Raw genomic sequence first — 21157 nt, forward strand, 5'->3', positions numbered from 1 at the left:
AGTAACTGGGATTACAGGCGCCCGCCACCACGCCCAGCTAACTTTTGTATATTTAGTAGAGACGGGGTTTCACCATGTTGACCTGCCTGGTCTTGAACTTCTGACCTCAGGTGATCCACATGCCTCCGCCTCCCAAAGCGCTGGGATTAGAGTCTTGAGCCACTGCACCCGGCCTGTGTTTCTTAATATAGGAAATAACAACAAAACAACATTGCATAACACTTCCTATGTGCAGGGCACTCTTCTATAGCCTTACATATACTAACTCACTTTTCTGCCACAACCTGCAAGGCAGACTACTTCACAGTTGAGAAATGAAGGCACAGAGAGGTTAAGAAACTTGCTGAAGGCCCCACAGGACACCAGATTCTATCAACTGTAAACTTGGCCAAGTGGCCTTAGGCTGGCAGGCTAGGTGTACAACAAAGGAAAGAACGGATCTTCCTTTATCACCCCTTTTTCCTAATATCTGCCTCCCACTGCTGACCTGGTAGCTGTTTATTTGAACTTTAAGTGCCAAACTTAACATGACTGTAATTTGAAAGCACACAGATTCAGGAAGCTGTGGAGTTGCTTTATTTGGTGGATTTTGAAGCAGTAAGAAATGATTGATTAAAAAAGTTCAGGCTTCCTCCTGTCAAGCTTACAGGTCAAGACAGAAATTCATTCAGTGTTAGATATGGAAAGGACCTTAGAGGTAACATCATTTTTTGGCTTTATTTTACTAGGCAAGAAAAAAAGTCCATGGGAGGTAAAGTGCCTTGTTCAAGGTTGTGAAGCATATTTTCCAAAATTACAACTAGATTGTTTAGATGGGTAAGTCAGATAAATGTTGCTGAAGTACTACAATTAAGGTTCTAATTATGGAAATTAAAGTATGATATTAGTTTGGGGAGTTCCTACAGCATCAAAAGTTCATATGACTTAATTCATATATCAAGGTTACCTCACCTAGACAGAAAAGTCCCGTATCCACTACTGAGCATGACATCGTTTCTGGAACTATGAAACATGCAATAGGCTGGGTGCGGTGGCTCACGCCTGTAATCCCAGCACTTTGGGAGGCTGAGGTGGGCAGATCACGAGGTCAGGAGATCGAGACCATCCTGGCTAACATGGTGAAACCCCGTCTCTACTAAAAATACAAAAAATTAGTCAGGTGTGGTGGCGGGCGCCTGTAGTCCCAGCTATTCGGGAGGCTGAGGCAGGAGAACGGCATGAACCCGGGAGGTAGAGCTTGCAGTGAGCTGAGATTACACCACTGCACACCAGCCTGGGCAACAGAGCAAGACTCTTTGTCTCAAAAAAAAAAAAGAAAAAGAAACATGCAATAACCAGAAGTTGGTTATGTAGTATTGGTGTCCTCTTAAAAACAGATTTTGTGGTGCCATAATGGCTTTTATTTAGTGTTTTCATTGTGCACATTTCTACTGATCGCTGTTACACCAGTGGTCAGCAACTGACCTCCCACTCACTCAAGGGTATAAAGGCAGTATTGCCCTGGTGGCTGAAAGCAAGGATTCCGGAGCTAGCCTGCCTGGGTCTAAATTTCAGTTCTGCACTTACTGGTTTATGACTTTGGGCAATTATACCTTACCTATGTGTGCTGTGGTCTGAATGTTTGTGTCTTCATAAAGTTAATATGTGGAAACCTATTAATAATTCCCAAGGAGATGGAGGTAAGGCCTTTGCAAGGTAATTAGGTATAAGAGCATAGTCCTCATGTATGGAATGAGTGCCCTTACGAAAGAGTCCCCAGAGAGCTGCCTTGCCTCTTCTACAATGTGAGGACACAATGAGTAGGCAGCATCTACAAACCAGGAAATGGACCCTCACCAGACACCGAATCTGCCTTGAGCTCAGAGTTCCCAGCCCCCAGTATTGTGAGAAATAAATTTCTGTTGTTTATAAGCTACCCAGTCTGTGGTATTTTGTTATAGCAGCTAGAATGGACGCAGACATTGTATCTCAATTTCCCCATCTGTAAAATAGGCATAATGATTGCATGGGGTTGTTGGAAGGATGAAATCATTTAATATATGCAAAGCACTTAGGAAAGGGCTGGGCACATCATAAGCACTACACGAAGGCTTCTATCATTATTGCTAAAAGGAGAAGCTGAGTTACTATGGAATCACTTCAGATTGTTAAATGATGATGGAGCTGAAAAAGTACTAATCATTTCTGCTTCCCAGACTAGGGGGCTAGGCCTTGTTTTATAGCTTAAGAGAGACCTTTAAAAATAGGGTGTTTCCAAGATCATCTACTAAGAAATTGACTCAATTTCCAGAATTAAATGCCAATATTCTAAAGTATACTTCTATATCTTTTCCAATAACAAGGAAATGAGAAAGAAAACAAGGAAAAGAAACATAAATTCGCCGGGTGCGGTGGCTCACGCCTGTAATCCCAGCACTTTGCGAGGCCGAGGCGGGCGGATCATGAGGTCAGGAGATCGAGACCATCCTGGCTAACACAGTGAAACCCCGTCTCTACTAAAAAGGCAAAAAATTAGCTGGGCGTGGTGGCGGGCAACTGTAGTCCCAGCTACACGGGAGGCTGAGGCAGGAGAATGGCGTGAACCCGGGAGGCGGAGCTTGCAGTGAGCAGAGATCGCGCCACTGCCCTCCAGCCTGGGCGACATAGCGAGGCTCCGTCATGAAAGAAAGAAAGAAAGAAAGAAGGAAGGAAAGAAAGCAAGCAAGCAAGCAAGCAAGAAAGAAAGAAAGAAAGAGAAAGAGAAGAAAGAGAAGAAAGAAAGAAAGATCGATTCTACTCCCTGGTCTGCATTTCAAATCCACAAGTAGAAGATTTCAATAATAAGTGCAAACCATTAAGTATGTTAATGCAGTTATTATTTTAGAGGTTTACACAGATAACTTTCCCAATAGACTATAAGCTAGTATGTACAAAAGTATGTAGAGGAAAAAGGGGGAAAAAGTATGCAGAGGGACAAGAATTCTATGTTTAAAAGTGTGGAGACTCAAAAGAAAAATGACAGATTTTACTAGATTTTGTACTGCCCTTAATTTATCAACTGGAGATGATATTGCGGGGGGGTATTTTTGTTTGTTTGTTTGTTTGTTTGTTTTTTGAGACGGAGTCTTGCTCTGTCACCCAGGCTGGAGTGCAGTGGCGTGATCTCGGCTCACTGCAAGCTCCGCCTCCCGGGTTCATGCCATTCTCCTGCCTCAGCCTCCCGAGTAGCTGGGACTACAGGCGCCCGCCACCACACCCGGCTAATTTTTTGTATTTTTTTTAGTAGAGACTGGGTTTCACCATGTTGGCCAGGATGGTCTCGATCTCTTGACCTCGTGATCCATCCGCCTTGGCCTCCCAAAGTGCTGGGATTACAGGCGTGGGGCACCGCGCCCGGCTTTGCGGCGGGGTATGTTTTATAGCTATATGTCACAATAGTAACTTACTTTTTTGTGTGTGTGTGAGACGGAGTTTCGCTCGTTGCCCAGGCTGGAGTGCAGTGGCGTGATCTCGGTTGACGGCAACTTCCGCCTCCCAGATTCAAGCAATTCTCCTGCCTCAGCCTCCCAAGTAGCTGGGACTACAGGCATGCACCACCACACCCGGTTAATTTTGTATTTTTAGTAGAGACGGGGTTTCTCCATGTTGGCCAGGCTGGATCCCGACCTCAGGTGATCCACCCACTTCAGTCTCTCAAAGTGCTGAGATTGCAGGCGTTAGCCACTGCGCCCGGCCAGTAACTTAATGACTATAGCCGGGCCTTCATAGATTTTTCTACCTATGAGCATCCTAAAATAAGTAGAATTAAAACATTAAAAAAAAGGAAGTTTCAAAGTGTGTTCCTGCTTCTTTGTCTTTAGAGACAGTACGGCACAATGAAGTTGGAGGTCAATTTTAACTCTGGATTGGCTACCTACCCCTCTCAGTCTCAGTTTCTAACATGTAAAATAAGGACAGTAACATGATTCCTATTAGATTTTTGTGGGGTTTACATAAGACATGCATGCAAAGTAAGTGCTCAGTGACTGTTCTCCCTTTTCCTTACACATAAGAAATACTTTGTTTGTTTGCTTGTTTGTTTGTTTTGAGACGGGGTCCCACTTTGTTGCCCAAGCTGGAGTGCAGTGGCAGCATTATTGCTCACTGCAGCCTTGACCTCACAGGCTCAAGAGGGGCGAGAGTAGAAGTTTGGATTTCATTCTAATCGTATAGAAAACCACTGGAGGGTTGTATACGTAATCTGAATTGTATTTTTAAAAGATCATTTTGGCACTTATAAAATTGAGATATAAGGGGCAAGAGTAGAAGCAAGGAGACCACTAGAAGGCAACTATAGGAGTCTATGTGAGAAATTAGTTCTTCTTTTTTTTTTTTTGGAGATGGAGTCTTGCTCTGTCACCCTGGCTGGAGTGCAGTGGTACAATCTTGGCTCACTGCAATTTCTGCCTCCTGGGTTCAAGCGACTCTCCTGCCTCAGCCTCCTGAGTAGCTGGGATTACAGGCATGCACCAGCACGCCTGGTTAATTTTCATATTTTTAGTAGAGATGGGGGTTTCACCATGTTGGCCAGGCTGGTCTTGAATTCCTGGCCTCAAGTGATCTGCCTGCTTTGGTCTCCCAAAGTGCTGGGATTACAGGCGTGAGCCACGGTGCCCGACCAAGAAATGAGTTCTTAGATGAGGGTAGTGATGAAGAAAAAGGCTAGGTATGGGAAACAGTGTGAGGGAGGGCACCATAGGACTAATTGATAGATTTAAAGGCTGTGAAGGAAAGAGGAATTAAATATGACTCCTTGGCCTTCTTTTTTTCTTTTTTTTTTTTTTTGAGATGGAGTCTCGCCCTGTCGCCCAGGCTGGAGTGCAATGGCACGGTCTCAGCTCACTGCAACCTCTGCCTCCTGGGTTCAAGCGATTCTCCTGCCCCAGCCTCCCAAGTAGCTGGGATTCCAGGTGTGTGCCACCACGCCCAGCTAAGTTTTTGTAGCTTTAGTAGAGATGGGGTTTCACCATGTTGGCCAGGCTGGTCTCGAACTCTTGACCTCGTGATCCATCCACCTTGGCCTCCCAAAGTGCTAGGATTACAGGCTTGAGCCACCGCGCCCGGCCTGACTCCTTGGCTTTTTAAAGAAAATGATTGTTAGTTTTTTTAGAGATGCGGGTCTTGCTCTTTGTCCAGGCTGGTCTCAAACTCTTGGGCTTAAGCCATCCTCCTGCCTCAGCCTTCTGAGTAGCTGAGACTACAGACGTGCACCACCATGCCCTGCTGACTCTTTGACTTTTGGCTTGAGCAACTAGGTAGGTAGTGGTGTTGTTGACTTGAAGTTAGAAAGACTGGGGATTTAACAGCTTTGGAAAGGCGGAATCAAGAGTTTTGGACCTGTTAGGGTTTAAGATGTTTATTACTGTTTAGAAGAGATACACTTAAATAGACAAGTTTGGTTAAAAGTATAATAACAGGATGGGAAAATATATTACAAGCACGCACCATAGAATTCAGAGGAAAAAACCTTATTGGATATTTGTGTGCGGAAATTCAGGTCAGGGCTAAAAGTATAATTTGAGACTGTATCAGTCTGTTTTCATTGCTCAAGTCAATACCTGAGGCTGGGTAATTTATAAAGAAAAAGAGGTTTAATTGACTTAAGGTACTGCAGGCTGTACAGAAAGCATGGCACCAGAATCTGCTTCCAGTGAAGGCCTCAGGAAGCTTCTAATCATGGCAGAAGGCAAAGGGGAAGCAGGCATGTCACATGGGGAGAGCAGGAGCAAGAGAGAGAGGGAGGAAGTGCCAGGCTCTTTTAAACAACCGTGTGAACTAACAGAGATGGGGAGGGCACCAAGCTATTCATGAGGAATCTACCCCCATGACCCAAACACCTCTTACCATCTTCATCCCACCTCTAACAATGGGGATCACATTTCAACATGAGATTTGGAGAGGACAAATATCCAAACCATATCAGGGATAGTATTTAAAGACACAGGGCTAGCTGAGTGAATCCAGAGAAAGAATAAAGAGTGTCAAGGACCAAGACCTGAGGTACTCTTACTTTTAGAGATTGGCCTTAGGAGGAAAAGGCAAGAAAGCAGACTGAGGAGGTAGGGGGAAATGATCACAGATGGTATCCAGAGCTATAGGTGGCACATGCCAGGAGTGCCGTTGGCATACACTTAAGGTGACGGTCCTGGTAATAGCAGATTGTCCTTGGAAGAATAAACTAATTTACTAACTAATAAGCAAGGCTGGGTGTGGTGGCTCATGGCTGTAATCCCAGCACTTTGGGAGGCCGAGGCAGGTGGATCGCCTGAGGTCAGGAGGAGACCAGCCTGGCCAACGTGGTGAAACTCCGTCTCTACTAAAAATGCAAAAATTAGCCAGGCATGGTGGTGGGCGCCTGTAATCCCAGCTACTTGGGAGGCTGAGGTAGGAGAATCGCTTGAACCCGGGAGACGGAGGTTGCAGTGAGCCGAGATCACACCATTGCACTCCAGCCTGGGTGACAGAGCAAGACTCTGTCTCAAAAAAAAAAAAAAAAACAAAAAAAAAAAGCACTGTTTCTCTGCAGATATCTAATCGGTACTTTTAGTACTTTGATTTATTTTGCTAATTTAATTGACATAAAATGTTTGTTTTTACTTGCAGTTGTAAAATAAACTAAGCACTATTTGCTATTTGTCTCATATGCACATTCTGTTAACATCATTGAGACTGGTTTTTGTTAATGATCATTGTTTACATTCATTTTTGTTTTGATTGACCTTTTTTTTTTCTGTCACTTGGGAATATTTCTGGCTGAAAGTAACAGAAAACTTGACCATAGAAAGGGTTACTTTTGCTTATAAAACAAGATGACTAAAAGCAGTCTACAATTCCATAATTCCACCAAGGATCCACATGTTTCCTGCCTTTCCAATCTACCATCCTCAGCATGTAACTTTCTTCATCAGGCTTGCCTGATGGCTGACATCAGGCATCAGGCTCTGGGCCTGATGGCTCTGGGCATCGCATCTGTGTTCCAGCAGGAAGAAGGACACGGAGCAAAAGGCTTGTGTTAGTCTATTCCTTTTCATCAGGAAAACAACAGCTTTCCTTGAATCCAACCTAGTAGAAGTCTACTTATATTTCATTGACCAGAACTAGGCCACATAGCCATGCCAAGATGCAAGGGAGGCTGGGAAGGTGACTGTTTTCTTCTCATTCATCTATCATTCATTCAATCATAGTTAAATATTTAGCAGGACCACACCCAAGGCATCATATATAAACCACATTCTAGCTTTCTTAAACAATTTTTTCTTAGGGCTCTGTTCCGTTCCATTGGTCTATATCTCTGTTTTGGTACCAGTACCATCTCAGAAATAATACCACACATCTACAACCATATGATCTTTAACAAACCTGACAAAAACAAGAAATGGGGAAAGGATTCCCTATTTAATGGTGCTGGGAAAACTGGCTAGCCATATGTAGAAAGCTGAAACTGTGTCCCTTCCTTACACCTTATACAAAAATCAATTCAAGATGGATTAAAGACTTAAATGTTAGACCTAAAACCATAAAAACCCTAGAAGAAAACCTAGGCAATACCATTCAGGACATAGGCATGGGCAAGGGCTTCATGACTAAAACACCAAAAGCAATGGCAGCAAAAGCCAAAATTGACAAAGGGGATCTAATTAAACTAAAGAGCTTCTGCACAGCAAAAGAAACTACCATCAGAGTGAACAGGCAACCTACAGAATGGGAGAAAATTTTTACAATCAACCCATCTGACAAAGGGCTAATATCCAGAATCTACAAAGAACTTAAACAAATTTACAAGAAAAAATCAAACAACCCCATCAAAAAGTGGGCGAAGGATATGAACAGACACTTCTCAAAAGAAGACATTTATGCAGCCAACAGACACATGAAAAAATGCTCATCATCACTGGCCGTCAGAGAAATGCAAATCAAAACCACAATGAGATACCATCTCACACCAGTTAGAATGGCGATCATTAAAAAGTCAGGAAACAACAGGTGCTGGAGAGGATGTGGAGAAATAGGAACACTTTTACACTGTTGGTGGGACTGTAAACTACTTCAACCATTGTGGAAGACAGTGTGGCGATTCCTCAAGGATCTAGAACTAGAAATACCAGTTTCTAGAAATACCCAGCCATCCCATTACTGGGTATATACCGAAAGGATTATAAATCATGCTGGTATAAAGACACATGCACACGTATGTTTATTGCGGCACTATTCACAATAGCAAAGACTGGGAACCAACCCAAATGTCCATCAATGATAGACTGGATCAAGAAAATGTGGTACATATACACCATGGAATACTATGCAGCCATAAAAAAGGATGAGTTCATGTCCTTTGTAAGGACATGGATGAAGCTGGAAACCATCATTCTGAGTAAACTATCACAAGGACAGAAAACCAAACACTGCATGTTCTCACTTATAGGTGGGAAATGAACAATGAGAACACTTGGACACAGTGTGGGGAACATCACACACTGGGGCCTGTCGTGGGGTGGGGGGAGGGGGGAGGGATAGCATTAGGAGATATACCTAACGTAAATGACAAGTTAACAGGTGCAGCACACCAACATGGCACATGTATACATATGTAACTAACCTGCACGTTGTGCACATGTACCCTAGAACTTAAAGTATAATAAAGTAAAAATAAAAAAATTTTTTGTCTTTCATTTTCAAACTTTAAACTTTTTCAGACTTTCAAACTTTTCACAAAGTTAAAGTTCTAATTTAATCAATTTATTTTTAAATTACAGTAAAACTTACTCTTTATTTTACAGTTTTATGAATATTTTTTAAAATAGAGAATAAACTGTGAATACTGCTGCTACTCACCCAAAATTACATTACAGTCCCATAACAGAAAAGGTCAGTTGTTTAACACAACAGAGTTTGAGAAAGGAGAGAATCCTTATCCTTATCCAATGCATTTAATTGAGGCATTATAAGATGAGATGGAATAAAGTTATAGTAAGAAGGGTCCTCTAGAGGTTGGGTGTGGTGGTTCACACTTGTAATCCCATCACTTTGGGAGGCCAAGGCAGGAGGATTGCTTAAACCTAACAATTCAAGACCAGATCCTATGTCAAAAAGAAAAGAAAAATAAATAAGTAAATAAATAAATAAATAAAAGCCAGTAGAGATTTAGCCATTCATAGGTCTTTTTTTTTAAAAAAAACAAAACCATTTTATCTTATATGAATCTAACTTAACATTGATATACTCCACTAAGACATCACCTTAATGCCTCTTCCACACTTTAGTTGTGCGTATATAATTTTCTTTTCTTTTTTTTTTGGAGACAGGGTCTCACTCAGTCACCTAGGCTGGAGTGCAGTGGTGCAATCTTGGCTCACTGAAGCCTTGAACTCCTAGGCTCAAGCAATCCTCCCACCTCAGCCTCCTGAGTAGCTGGGAATACAGACTACAGGTGTGTGCCACCATGCTCGGCTCTTTAAAAAAATTTTTGGGCCAGGTGCGGTGGCTCACGCCTGTAATCCCAGCACTTTGGGAGGCTGAAGTGGGTGGATCACGAGGTCAGGAGTTCAAGACAAGTCTGACCAACATGGTGAAACCCGGTCTCTACTAAAAATACACACACACACACAAAAAGCCAGGCATGATGGTGGGCGCCTGTAATCCCAGCTACTCAGGAGGCTGAGGCAGGAGAAATGCTTGAACCCAGGAAGCAGAGGTTGCAGTGAGCTGAGATCACGCCACTGCACTCGAGCCTGGGTAACAGAGTGAGGCTCCATCTCAAACAAACAAACAAATAAACAAAAATTTATAAAGACAAAGTCTCACTATGTTGCCCAGGCTGGTCTTGAACTCCTGGGCTCAAGCAATCCTCCTACCTTGGCCTCCCAAAATATTGGAATTACAGGCCTGAGCCACCTTGCCTGGCCTATAATTTTCATATTGAGTTAATTTGTGTTTACATTAATTTTTTTTCAGTTAACATTATTTCATATATACTTCTCCATAACTCTGCCACTAAAAGCAGCTCTGGCTGGACAGGGTGGCTTGCACTTGTAATTCCAGCACTTTGGGAGGCTGAGGTGGGTATATTGTTTGAGCCCAAGAGTTCAAGACCAGCCTGGGCAACATGGTGAAACCATGTCTCTACAAAAATACAAAAATCAGCCAGGTGTGGTGGCCTGCCTCTGTGGTCCCAGCTGCTTGGGAGGCTGAGGCAGGAGTATTGTTTGAGCCAAGGAGGCAGAAGTTGCCGTGAGCCAAGATTGGGCCACTGCCTTTCAGACTGGGTGAAAGAGTGAGATCAGAGTAGTAATGAAGAAAAAGGCTAGGTATGGGAAATAGTACAGAGTAGGGCACCATAGGACTAATTCATAGATTTAAAGGGTGTAAAGGAAAGATGAATTAAATATGACTCCTTGGCTTTTTAGAGAAAATTATTATTAGTGTTTAGATCTAGGTATTTCCCACACCTAGCCTTTTTCTTCATCACTACCCTTGTCTCAAAACAATTTATAAATAAAAATTTTTAAAGGAGTTCTATAACTTGGATTTTAAAATTCTCTATGGGCTTTGGTTTCTTCTGTAAAATGAGGCAGTTGGGCTATTAAATGATTTCTAAAAAATTTCCAGCTCTAATATTCTGTGACAATATCTAGGATTGACAAGGGGAATAATGGAAATATAGCACAAATGACACAGGAGTCTTCTTTGAAGAACAAGGTTACTCCAAAACATGGATGCTGCTTAATGGGCCATAACTTTCCTGTTGTCCATGAGTCAGCATGAAAAATAACTCCAGAGGAGGCTAAGTAGGTCAGATTTATCTAAGAAGACAGCTGTGTAATCCCGTATCCCTCTCCAACCCCATGGCACAGCAGATACATGCTTTTGGCTCTGTGAACAACAGTCAAATAGCATTACCCATTTTGTAAAGTCCACAAGACCACAACTTGAAAAATCAAGCTGGCCTTACAAAGTCTAGAAAAAGCTATAGCAGTATTTACATATGGTCCATAGCAATGTTAGTCTATCTTTTAAGTCATTTCCATTGATGCTGTGATACTCGTTAATGTGGGAAAGACTTTATTAGTAAAAGAGTAAAGTAATTTAAATGTTAGCAAAAAAGTTTTGTATCACAACTTTGAATCTGTTTAACAAAACCGGTTAGGCTGTTAATGTTTGCTTGCTTTCCTTTATACGTATTATACTCATATGAGGACTTAAAATTACATTCTGTAAATAAATAGGCCCATGAGAGAACTTTCATTTAGAAGCAAACTTTGAAGGTGCAGTTACTGCTTAAGTGGGCTGTGCAAATATTCCTGTCACTGGAGGTCCCTTTAACTGCGTGGGGGACCTTCAGAATCCAAGGGGCAAATAGAAACTTGGAGAAGTGAAGAGAAAAAAAGGGCACATTGAGATGGCACTGGAGATCCTTGCTAAATAAAGGAAGATGTTGGCAAGGAATACAGAAAAAAGTATGAAACAGAGACTACTGGAGGTATTCAAGTTGGAAAATGCAAAGTGTCCCTTTTTTTTTTTCACATCAACAACTTACGTTTATGCTAATCTACTTAAATGTTAAGTCTGGCCAAGCAATTAGACTATTTAACCTTGTTTGGAGTTAAATGCAGACAGTGTGTGAGACTGTGTTCACAGTACTGTATTACGTCTTTAGGAAAGAGGATCTAGATTTCATTTTGTCCTTCTCAGGATTGTGTCTGCTATGCAAGCACTGGTTTTCTATAGTCTGGCTTGTAAGGCACAAGGAGCAATTAAACAGAGGATTAAGGTAAACAGGTGTGTCCCATCACTTCCCCTCTTCATACTATATTGTTCATATTCTCTGAATTTCATACAAGCTACAGTGGAAGCAGTAAGTTAACTTTAAAAAATCATAAGATTGCCCATACTTCTAGGTTATGCAAATTGATTTCTGAATAAGCCCTTGTTTGCGACATCGCTGGTAAAGGCAGGATGTTAACTTAAAGAGATGCCAGATTTTGGACTTGTTAGTTATAGGCATCAAAACCTGGAACTAGGAAATGTATTTCCACGTATTACTTCCATTATCCTACTAATGTTAGAAACAGGCAACTAACCACATCCTCGACCCCAACCATATTTCAGGAGAGGCTGGCTGAATTTTGCAATATGATTCCAAAAGGGAGTATTTGCAGGGTCTTTGAAGCTATAAATCCCCTAGGAAGAGTCTTCCCCACCTGTCAGGACCTGGACAGTGTCCACAGAGGGTGCCGGGCGCACTACCGCCACGCGGCGCTGAGGTCTGCCTCTCGGGTTTTGGGAGAGCTCTTTTTATTCTAAATTACAGACTTTGCAGCCACCGGATATCCTCGCTGCATAACTGGCAGTGGCCATGTGGCTGCACTCGCGTTTCCTGACAACCACTGCATTATTTCCACTAATATCCTGTGTCCAAGGCCTCTCGCTTGGCGACTCCTCGTTCCCACCTCCACCGCCACCTCTTCCCTCGAGGGTAATCTCTCGACCGTGGCCCAAGCGCCTCGACAAAGCGGCAACCACCCAAAAGTTCATGAAAATGCACTTGGCAAAAGTGGGCCGCTAGTCCCCGCGGACAGCTCTAAGCGACCCCGTCCCAGCCGAGGAAAGCGCCCGGGCCCCGCAGAGTGCGCGCTGCGGGGCGGGCCCGCGGCCATGTGCTCCGCGCCGGGGCGGGGCACCCGCGGGTTCGCATTGTCCACTTTCCCCCGCACCCCGCCGCGTTCCGTCCCTCCCTATCTGCGGCGCACACGCGCTCAGAGCAAGCGGCGCGCCCGGGTCTGGAGCTGCAGCAGCTGCGGCAGCGGCGGGGGTGGTGCGGCGCGGGGCGGGGCGGGGCGGGGCGGGGCGGGGCGGGGCGGCACGGGGGCGGGCCCGGGGCGAGGCAGCTGGGGCGCCAGCGAGCTAGCGGCGAGCGCGGCGAGCAACGGAGAGGAGCGCGAGCAGCAGCATGGCGGGGCTCCGACGCCCGCAGCCCGGCTGCTACTGCCGCACCGCGGCGGCCGTGAACCTCCTGCTGGGCGTCTTCCAGGTCCTGCTGCCCTGCTGTCGCCCGGGAGGGGCTCAGGGACAAGGTCAGCCTTGCGCCGCTGGGCTCGCTCTGCCTCTCCACCCCGCCCCCGCTCTTTCTTTTAGGGAACTGCTGAAATCTATAAGAGGGCGAGGGGAGGAAAGGGAAAGGGGCAGGAGGAGGAAGGAAAGCTGTTGCGATTCTCCGCTGATAACATTTTCTGACCACAGCGTCCCGTCCCGCGCCTCTCTGCCCCGTACAGCTGGAGAGCGGGGCAGTCGCGGGGCTTGGGGACCGCTAGCCGCTCGCGCCCTGGAGCCTTTGTGCGCGGGCCCCTGCGCCCCGGGCGCAGCCCCCGCTTTGTGTGGCGCGCGCGGGTGCCCCGCAGCGGCCCGGCTTCCTGCAGCTTTGTTCCCCCGAGCCTGGCCGCCCAGGGTCCACACTCCAGATGCTCGGGCTGCGGAGCCCGGAGTGCCTCGTGGGGTGTCTTCACTCCCACTTCGTCCCCCCACCCCCAGCACGAGCACCCCGAGCCTGCCTGCACGCTGTCGCCTTCGCGTCCGAGGGGCCGCCGGCTCACACCCCACCCATTGTATTTTTATCCTTGGCTCGCCCCTGGGATGGCCTCTGTTCCCAGGAGGAAAAAGAGACGTGTTTTGGTGAGGCGGGGGGCACGGAGGGACGGTAGGGGAAACAGGAAGCGTTTCTTTAGCGTGCATTAAAAACGTGGTGTATTTTTTGGTGTTCCTGCAGCGATTGAGCCGTTGCCGAACGTGGTGGAGCTGTGGCAGGCAGAAGAAGGGGAACTCCTGCTGCCCACTCAGGTGAGGACGACCAGGTGACAGGGCGGCTGTGGGTGTACGAGGGAGGAGAGGCGGGGAGGCCCCCGGTCCTCCCCACCCCCTGTCCAAGCGGCACAGGCGTTCGGGCCACTTTGCAAGGCAAATAAACGTTAGGGGCCGAGCCTGAACACCTGGCAACGGTGGCCTTCCCGGCTCCTCCCACGCCATGTGACAGGGCCTGAGGCAGGCCGGCCCCAAGTTCAGAAGGTGGGAACCCAGGCCACCTCAGCAGGGAAGCGGCCAGCGGTCTGTTCGGCCGTGGGTGTCCTGGGTGCACACTGTTCCCTAAGTGAGCTGGTGCTGTGTGGATGGCAAGTGGCTAAGAGGTTGAGGACAACAGGAGTATTGATTTCATAAATGTTAGAGTGGTATTTGCCATTAGCGTTAAGTAGCTTTGGGATGGAGATGTGACTCTCAAGGATTGTCATCTTGGATTTTCTCCAAGTGCCCTTAATTCCTGTTAAAATACACCCACTTAAGAACTTGAATTTCTGGTTTTTTTCTCTGTATGATGATATGATGATTGCGTGTAGAAAAATAATTACTGACGTTTTATTGGGAATCTGTAGCATCATAGAGGGTTTATTGCTGCAACAGATACAGTACTGCAAAGCTTTTAACTTTTACAAGAAATTCCCATTGACTGTGAAGTGTGCACATTTAAATATAATGTTGTTGACTGCCTTTCACCAGTAACGGTAGTGATCCAAAATGCATTTTTTGGGTGGGAGTGGCTTGAATTATAAGGAAATATTTAGCTTGTGTGCAGTACTTTTTAAGATGTTCATTACTTCCCACGGTGGTGGCAGCACTTAATTCTGTGTTGTGTCTTGCGGCTGTTTAGAAAAACAGGATGTCTAGCTATAACTTTACCGGAGAGGCTGTCCAGTTTTACATTTCAGTTTTCTCCCTCCTATGTGAAACATTCAGAGTGCTGGTTTTGAGATATTTAGAATATTCATTTTGATCAGGGCTAATGAATAACAGCTTCAAGGCAGAGAGGTGATTTTAGAGGAGAATTTTCCTGGACCCTCCTTGAAGGCCAGCAGCCTGAATGAGACAGGTCTTTTGAGAAAGGGCCCCATCAGGATGAGGAGCAGATAGTTTTTCCTTCTCCTAAAAATTTATTCCCAAATGGATTTTTTCCCCGATTTTAAATAATATACATGTGTTTTTGAAGGTTTGGAAGATACAGAAATATAAAAAGAACAAAATAGAAATCCGTCGTATTCCTACTGCAAGAACGACATTTAACGCGATGTATTTATTTTAAAAAAATTATGTTTTTGTATATCAGAGTTGTTCAACAGTGGCACTGGTGACATTTTGGGCTACAGAGTTCTTTGTTGTGGGGGCTGTCCTGTGCACTGTGAGATGTTGAGCAGTTAGCATCCCTTGCCTCTACCCACTAGATGCCAGTGGCACTCACTGCTGCTTCCCCCTCTCCCCCACCCCCTCCTGATTTTGACAACTAAAAATGTTTCCAGACATTGCTAGATGTCCCTGGGGAGCAAAACTGCCCTGGTTGAGAAGCACTGGTGTATATCTATGTATATGTATTTGCATTTTTGCTCAATTATAGTTTCTATCTCTTACTGGCTAGTGTTGGAAGCCAACCCAGACTAAAAGGAAAGTAAATTATAGGTGATTGAGTCTAGTAGTATATACTCTCATTTGTTAGAGCGTTAGTTGAAGATTTAGTAGGTGTGCTCAGAGATGGAAATGTCAAGGCCTAAATGATTATTTGATTTATGGGCTCAAAAGTTATTTTATACAATTCTTAATTTCTGGTTTATTTGTATAATACAATTTGTTTTGATAATAGATGTCAGAATTCAGAAGCTGTCTGGGATATTCAGTATAGAGGGATTTATAGCTAAGCTATTTTAATCAAAGCTATAATGAAAGTGAAACTGGTTTTCAAAATAATTTTCTAAATACTTCATCCATATCTCTACGTATACCTTTTAGAAACTATCTTGCCCTGCTTATACCTGGGCCCAAGGGTAAGGGAGACACACACACACACACACACACACACGTGTGTATGTGTGTGTATATATATCTCATAAGCTACAGAGAGTTTTGAAGAAAGTTATTTTAAGTGAATTATTTTCAAAGTATTTTGAATTTTTTCAGCAAAAATTCCCTCATATGTGTCAAACGGAGTCTGTTGAAAAGAGAATATTTATAGGTGTTAATTTAAATTTGAGGGTTTTCTGCTTAATTAACCAGTACATTGGGTTTCTTTCATGCAGGAAGACTGAAAGATGGCTTCAGAGGCTAAGATTTGTCAGTAGTAGATGAAATAGGAACTTTAGAGGATGTGGCATTAAATAAAATACTGGCCAGGCTGGTGGCTCACGTCTGTAATCCCAGCACTTTGGAAGGCTGAGAGGGGTGGATCACCTGAGGTCAGGAGTTTGAGACCAGTCTGACCAACATGGACAAACTCTGTCTCTACTAAAAATGCAAAATTAGCCGGGCGTGGTGGTGCAGGCCTGTAATCCCAGCTGCTCGGGAGGCTGAGGCAGGAGAATTGCTTGAACCTGGGAGGCGGAGGTTACAGTGAGCTGAGATCGCGCTGAAGCACTCCAGCCTGGGCAACAAGAGCAAAACTTTGTCTCAAAAAACAAACAAACAAACAAACAAACAAAAAAACCAGTAACATATTTGCCAACACTGTTTGTATAGTTATTTATTTTGGAGATGTCTCCTGTTGATTAAGTCTTTTTTTTTTTTTAATGACAGGTCTCTAAGTGATCAAGACTAACTTACTATTAGTAAAACCATATATGACAACTAAATTGTTGTAAACTGTCAGAACCTCTGGCCAGGTCTCCTGGGTTTGAATCTCAGCCCTATCCCTTTTTAGCTCCATAAATTCACCTGTTTGTCCTGTTTTCTCATCTGCAAAGTCTGGGGAATTATGGTGCTGGTTTCAGAAGACTTTGAGAAGATTAAGTGCCTGGAACTTAGTGAGCACCTACTGTAGCTTACCTAATATTTTAGTGGTCCCTGAGCTGACTGGTAGACTTGGGCATTGGAGAGCATGAACGGCTTTCTTGTTTTGAAAGGTCTGAATAGTACAGATAACTCAGCACTATTGTGTGCTCTATGATTGTAAAGTTGTACTAGTCATATCTTTTTGTTATATACTCTCATGTCATAAAATCATTTGGTGTAGGAACATACAAACTGTATATCCATGGTGATCATGAGAGGAAGGAGGAAAAATATATATGATTTTATTCTTACATTTACAGAAATTTTCCTCTGCTCTGACTGTACTTGAACACACTGAATGCAAAGTGGTGATGGTGTGGAAACCAAACAGGTGTTTCATTAGCTTATTTTCAAGAAGTAATTGGGTGTGTGCAGGATACGGCTTTGTGTACCTTCTTACTTTGCCTTCAAAGTCAGAAACTGCGATTCCATGTGATCCACGCATAGGTGATGTCCACCTGACCTGCTCTGTCCTGCAGGGCCTTCCGTGTCAGTCCTGTGGTACGCCCACTCCAGCCCCACCCTTGGCCAAGCATGTCCAACACGTATCTGTTGAATTAATGAATGCAACAGCCCCGCTGGTCATTCAGGGCCTGTCCTTCCTGACTCCTGCCCTGCAGTGGCATTGTCATCGTTTCTCCCTCTTTGAGTTTCTTGTAGTGCCTTCGGTTTTTTTTGTTTGTTTTCTTTTTTTTTTTTGAGACTGAGTGTTGCTCTTGTCGCCTAGGCTGGAGTGCAATGATGTAATTTCGGCTCACTGCAACCTCCGCCTCCTGGGTTCAAGTGCTTCTCCTGCCTGAGCCTCCTGAGTAGCTGGGATTACAGGCATGCGCCACCATGCCCGGCTAATTTTTGTGTTTTTAGTAGAGACTGGGTTTCACTATGTTGGTCAGGCTGATCTTGAACTCCTGACCTTGTGATCTGCCTGCCTCAGCCTCCCAAAGTGCTGAGATTACAGGTGTGAGTCACCGTGCCCGGCCCATGTCTTCGTTTTTCTCCTTTGTCTTGTGCATGTCTTGTTGCCTTAACTGGGTTCTCCTTTGAGGGGCTGGGCTGCTAAGGGTTGGTGCCCTGCTGTGGCCACAGTGTCCTGCATACAGTAGACATTCAGTACTGCCCATGAAGTCGTCCTAGTGCGGGAGAGGCAGTTGTCAGTGTCTTGCCGAGTTCCCCTATTTATGAGGTTGGCTAAGTCTGCAGGTAACAGGTGGAATGCCTTAAATGGTTATTTCCTAGTATTGTTTGACAATCACATTTTTAAAAATCAGTTCTAGCTGCAAGAAGGGCAGTCTAGAATCTGTTCTTTCAATCCATCCAGACTTCTTTGAGAAGAGAAGGCTCACTCCTGATGCCCCTTGGTTAGCAGGTTTGGGAACCAGGGACAGGTGCTGAGTAGGAGCAGCCGTTACCTGATACAGAATCATGTTGGTGCTAGGCAGGGCTGGGCAGGCTCAGTGCTCCACTGCCGTTACTTGTTCATTTAGCAAAGATGGACCTTTGGGGCGGGCCCAGTTAGGTCTCCAGAGATACAGTGATGAATAAGAAAGAATCTGCCTTTAAAAATATCAAGTTTATTTTCCCGCATCTTAAGTCAGAGGGTGTAGATAACGGAAATTGGTAGAAAGTGAAACAGGAAATGATACACAGAGTTTTTGTTATCACAGGTACTGTGTTATGTAATAGCATCTTGCTCCAGTGAATCATTGACCAGTATTTGGTAATCTTTTTGTCATAGAGATTTATTTTTGGTTTAATCAACTTCCATCAACATTAAAAAAAAATAACTAACATGGGTTGGGCACTTCTGGCATCATTTAAATGCTTTATGAGTATTAACTCATTAACACACTAAACACTATGAAGTTTACAGATGATGAAATTGAGGCACAGAACAGCGAAATTACTTGGCTCAAGGTAATAAGAAAGTGACAGTCCTAGGAGAGTAAGTGTTTAACTATAGAGCCCAAGTTTTTAGCCATTACGTATGTTGTGTGAGTTTCAGTACAGTTTGACCAGAAAAGCACTATTATGGTGGTAAAGTTTCTGTGTCTGAGGGGAAAGCATGTCATGTTCTATTTTGATTTAGAAAAAGTTGCTTAGTGAAGTTCCCATAATAGTCATATCCACATGTAGTTAAGAAACAGCTGGCTTGTACTCAGCTCTGCAGATGTTTTATTGAGCACATACTGCAGGCCAAGCAGTGCTTTAGGTGTCAGGGATATTACAGTAGACAAAAAAAAACAAAAAACACCTGCCCTTGTGATGCTTGCAGTCTAAATGGAAGCAGAGAGATAGACAGTAAACAAGACAGAGAATAAATTTATTTAGTCTGTTCGAAGGGCATACATGTTGTGTGGTGGCAATGTGGGGTGGTGATGTGAGTTGCGGTTTTAAGAGGTCAAAGTGTACCACTCTGAAAGGGCAATATTTGAGCCAATCTTTGAAAGTGGTGAGAGAGAACAGCCAGTGCAAAGGCCCTGAGGCACTTCCCAAGAGGCAGTGGGGGAATTACATGCTTTTGTCCCTGCCCTTTGTGGTTGGCAAGATCAGACTGGTAATACCCTGGGACCACAGTCAAGTGCTGAAATATAGGAACTGAGAGAAGAGGCACCCTGCTTTGGAGAGGTCAGCTAAGGCTTAGGGACAAGGGAGGCCTTAGAGATCTGCAGCAGCAAGTGTGTGCCTGGGGCCTAGCCCAGAGCCTCGCCTGGTAGACAGTTAAGTTCAGCATTTTCCCTCGGACATTTTAAATTGGAGCCCAGGTGCTTGCCGCAATGTGGTTGTAGGGGTAGGGCTGGGTGTGTCAGGGCCTGTGTGGGACAGTGCTGTATGCTGTTGAAGAGCTTGGTGTGCATCTGACCAGTTGGAGGGAGCCATAGTAGGTTCTTGAGCAGGGACTGAAGTGATGACATTGAGTGCTGGGTCCTTACTGTGTGATAAGGGTGATAAGGAGTGAATGATATGAGGAGACTGGTCTTTGCTGCACAGAGTGCGATGGTGCACCGGATGGTTGCAGGCAGCAGTCTGCAGGCAGAGAAGAAAGCTGCGTTTGTCTTCTAATACAGCCGGGGCTACTGATGGTGTGGGCTGCTGTGTTGGAAGAAAGGACAGGTAGGAACTGGGTTTCCCGTGAGTGGGTAGGTCTTTCTGGTAGGAGGTGAAGGGAGGAGAGCAGTGCAAGATGACTATAAGATTTGCCCAGGGGTGGCCGGGCACAGTGGCTCACGCCTGTAATCCCAGCACTTTGGGAGGCCGAGGCGGGTGGATCACAAGGTCAGGAGTTTGAGAACAGCCTGGCCAACACAGTGAAACCCTGTTTCTACTAAAAATACAAAAATTAGCCAGGTGTGGTGGCATGTGCCTATAGTCCCAGCTACTTGGGAGGCTGAGGCAGGAGAATTGCTTGAACCCAGGAGGCGGAGGTTGCAGTGAGCCGAGACCCTGCCATTGTACTCCAGCCTGGGTGACAGAGCGAGACTCTGTCTCAAAAACAAACGAACAAACAGAAACAACGGTTAACACATGTTCTTTTTCAATAGGGTGATTCTGAAGAGGGTCTGGAGGAGCCTTCTCAAGAACAGAGGTAAGGAAAAAATGGGGGTGGAAACCTGCATGCTGAATGTCCCTGCCCACTTTGGGTGCTCTCTGAAGTCTCAGTATATGTCCATGTTTATGTATTTAGTAGTATCTGTAATACACCTTTCTCTTTGGCATTTGTCGTATCTATACCTTCTAATACATTAATACGATTTTGTTTTAAAATAAGGTTGTTTAGAAAGCTGTTAGAAATAGCCCCTCCTTCGCCACTCACCAATTTCACTTTTTCCATGATGTGCTTGTGCCCTCCCTCTTGTTTATAAACATCTATTGAGTGCCAGGCACCGTGCTGGGTGCTGAACATGAAACACAAACAAGACCTCTGTTTCGTGTAGTGGGCAAGTAAGACTTTACTGTAAGTAAAATAATTATGCTTATGACAAGAGCTATCAAGAATTAGTTTCCTGTAGTAGAGAATAATGAGGTGGATGGGCTCCTTTTGGGAGGTGACATTCCAGCTGAAGCCTGGAGGAAACAGGAGCAGCCACACAGCAGCGGGAACAGTGCTTTGGTCAGAGGGAATGGAGGTGCAAAGGCCCTAAGGCTGGAAGCCCTGCCGGCAATCCAGGAACTTGGAGAAGGCCAGTGTGGTTTGTAGGATGGTGAGATAAGGTATGTAGTCCTTTAGAAGTCGCAGTAAGGAATTTGAGTTTTGTTTTTAAGTGTGGTGTGAATTGTTAAAGAATTT

At 44.7% G+C, this 21157-nt stretch overlaps 1 protein-coding gene across 41 annotated transcripts in view, besides 11 other annotated features; it reads left to right on the top strand.

Moving 5' to 3' along the window:
- Positions 12388–12567: an enhancer, noted in NCBI's record as "active region_22056". NCBI's record gives its function as "activates an Ori minimal core promoter by ATAC-STARR-seq in GM12878 lymphoblastoid cells {active_cell/tissue: GM12878}" and the evidence as "EXISTENCE:reporter gene assay evidence [ECO:0000049][PMID:35858748]".
- Positions 12608–12757: a silencer, noted in NCBI's record as "silent region_15760". NCBI's record gives its function as "represses an Ori minimal core promoter by ATAC-STARR-seq in GM12878 lymphoblastoid cells {active_cell/tissue: GM12878}" and the evidence as "EXISTENCE:reporter gene assay evidence [ECO:0000049][PMID:35858748]".
- Positions 12798–12897: a silencer, noted in NCBI's record as "silent region_15761". NCBI's record gives its function as "represses an Ori minimal core promoter by ATAC-STARR-seq in GM12878 lymphoblastoid cells {active_cell/tissue: GM12878}" and the evidence as "EXISTENCE:reporter gene assay evidence [ECO:0000049][PMID:35858748]".
- The window catches only part of TMEM131L (transmembrane 131 like), a 170352-nt gene continuing 162121 nt past the window's right edge, over positions 12927–21157 (top strand). For 22 of the 41 annotated variants that reach the window (XM_024453956.2, NM_001131007.2, XM_047449906.1 and 19 more), the window contains exons 1-3: positions 12927–13088; positions 13778–13848; positions 20412–20455. In XM_024453956.2, coding sequence (XP_024309724.1) covers positions 12965–13088; positions 13778–13848; positions 20412–20455 — 239 coding nt within the window. In that variant the 5' untranslated portion in view covers positions 12927–12964. Of the gene's footprint in view, positions 13684–13777; positions 13849–20411; positions 20456–21157 lie in introns of all 41 variants that reach the window. The other 19 variants (XM_047449899.1, XM_011531780.2, XM_047449901.1 and 16 more) reach the window with 1 other exon arrangement.
- Positions 13268–13627: a silencer, noted in NCBI's record as "silent region_15762". NCBI's record gives its function as "represses an Ori minimal core promoter by ATAC-STARR-seq in GM12878 lymphoblastoid cells {active_cell/tissue: GM12878}" and the evidence as "EXISTENCE:reporter gene assay evidence [ECO:0000049][PMID:35858748]".
- Positions 13938–14603: an enhancer, noted in NCBI's record as "H3K27ac-H3K4me1 hESC enhancer chr4:154388523-154389188 (GRCh37/hg19 assembly coordinates)". NCBI's record gives its function as "activates a minimal SCP1, AML or CMV promoter by ChIP-STARR-seq in naive H9 embryonic stem cells {active_cell/tissue: H9 hESC(naive)}" and the evidence as "EXISTENCE:reporter gene assay evidence [ECO:0000049][PMID:30033119]".
- Positions 13938–14617: a biological region, named in NCBI's record as "H3K27ac-H3K4me1 hESC enhancer GRCh37_chr4:154388523-154389188".
- Positions 14098–14187: an enhancer, noted in NCBI's record as "active region_22057". NCBI's record gives its function as "activates an Ori minimal core promoter by ATAC-STARR-seq in GM12878 lymphoblastoid cells {active_cell/tissue: GM12878}" and the evidence as "EXISTENCE:reporter gene assay evidence [ECO:0000049][PMID:35858748]".
- Positions 14558–14617: an enhancer, noted in NCBI's record as "active region_22058". NCBI's record gives its function as "activates an Ori minimal core promoter by ATAC-STARR-seq in GM12878 lymphoblastoid cells {active_cell/tissue: GM12878}" and the evidence as "EXISTENCE:reporter gene assay evidence [ECO:0000049][PMID:35858748]".
- Positions 15869–16369: an enhancer, noted in NCBI's record as "H3K4me1 hESC enhancer chr4:154390454-154390954 (GRCh37/hg19 assembly coordinates)". NCBI's record gives its function as "activates a minimal SCP1, AML or CMV promoter by ChIP-STARR-seq in naive H9 embryonic stem cells {active_cell/tissue: H9 hESC(naive)}" and the evidence as "EXISTENCE:reporter gene assay evidence [ECO:0000049][PMID:30033119]".
- Positions 16370–16870: an enhancer, noted in NCBI's record as "H3K4me1 hESC enhancer chr4:154390955-154391455 (GRCh37/hg19 assembly coordinates)". NCBI's record gives its function as "activates a minimal SCP1, AML or CMV promoter by ChIP-STARR-seq in naive H9 embryonic stem cells {active_cell/tissue: H9 hESC(naive)}" and the evidence as "EXISTENCE:reporter gene assay evidence [ECO:0000049][PMID:30033119]".
- Positions 19637–19726: an enhancer, noted in NCBI's record as "active region_22059". NCBI's record gives its function as "activates an Ori minimal core promoter by ATAC-STARR-seq in GM12878 lymphoblastoid cells {active_cell/tissue: GM12878}" and the evidence as "EXISTENCE:reporter gene assay evidence [ECO:0000049][PMID:35858748]".

This window comes from Homo sapiens, chromosome 4, assembly GCF_000001405.40.
Source record: "Homo sapiens chromosome 4, GRCh38.p14 Primary Assembly".
NCBI classification, from domain to species: domain Eukaryota; kingdom Metazoa; phylum Chordata; class Mammalia; order Primates; family Hominidae; genus Homo; species Homo sapiens.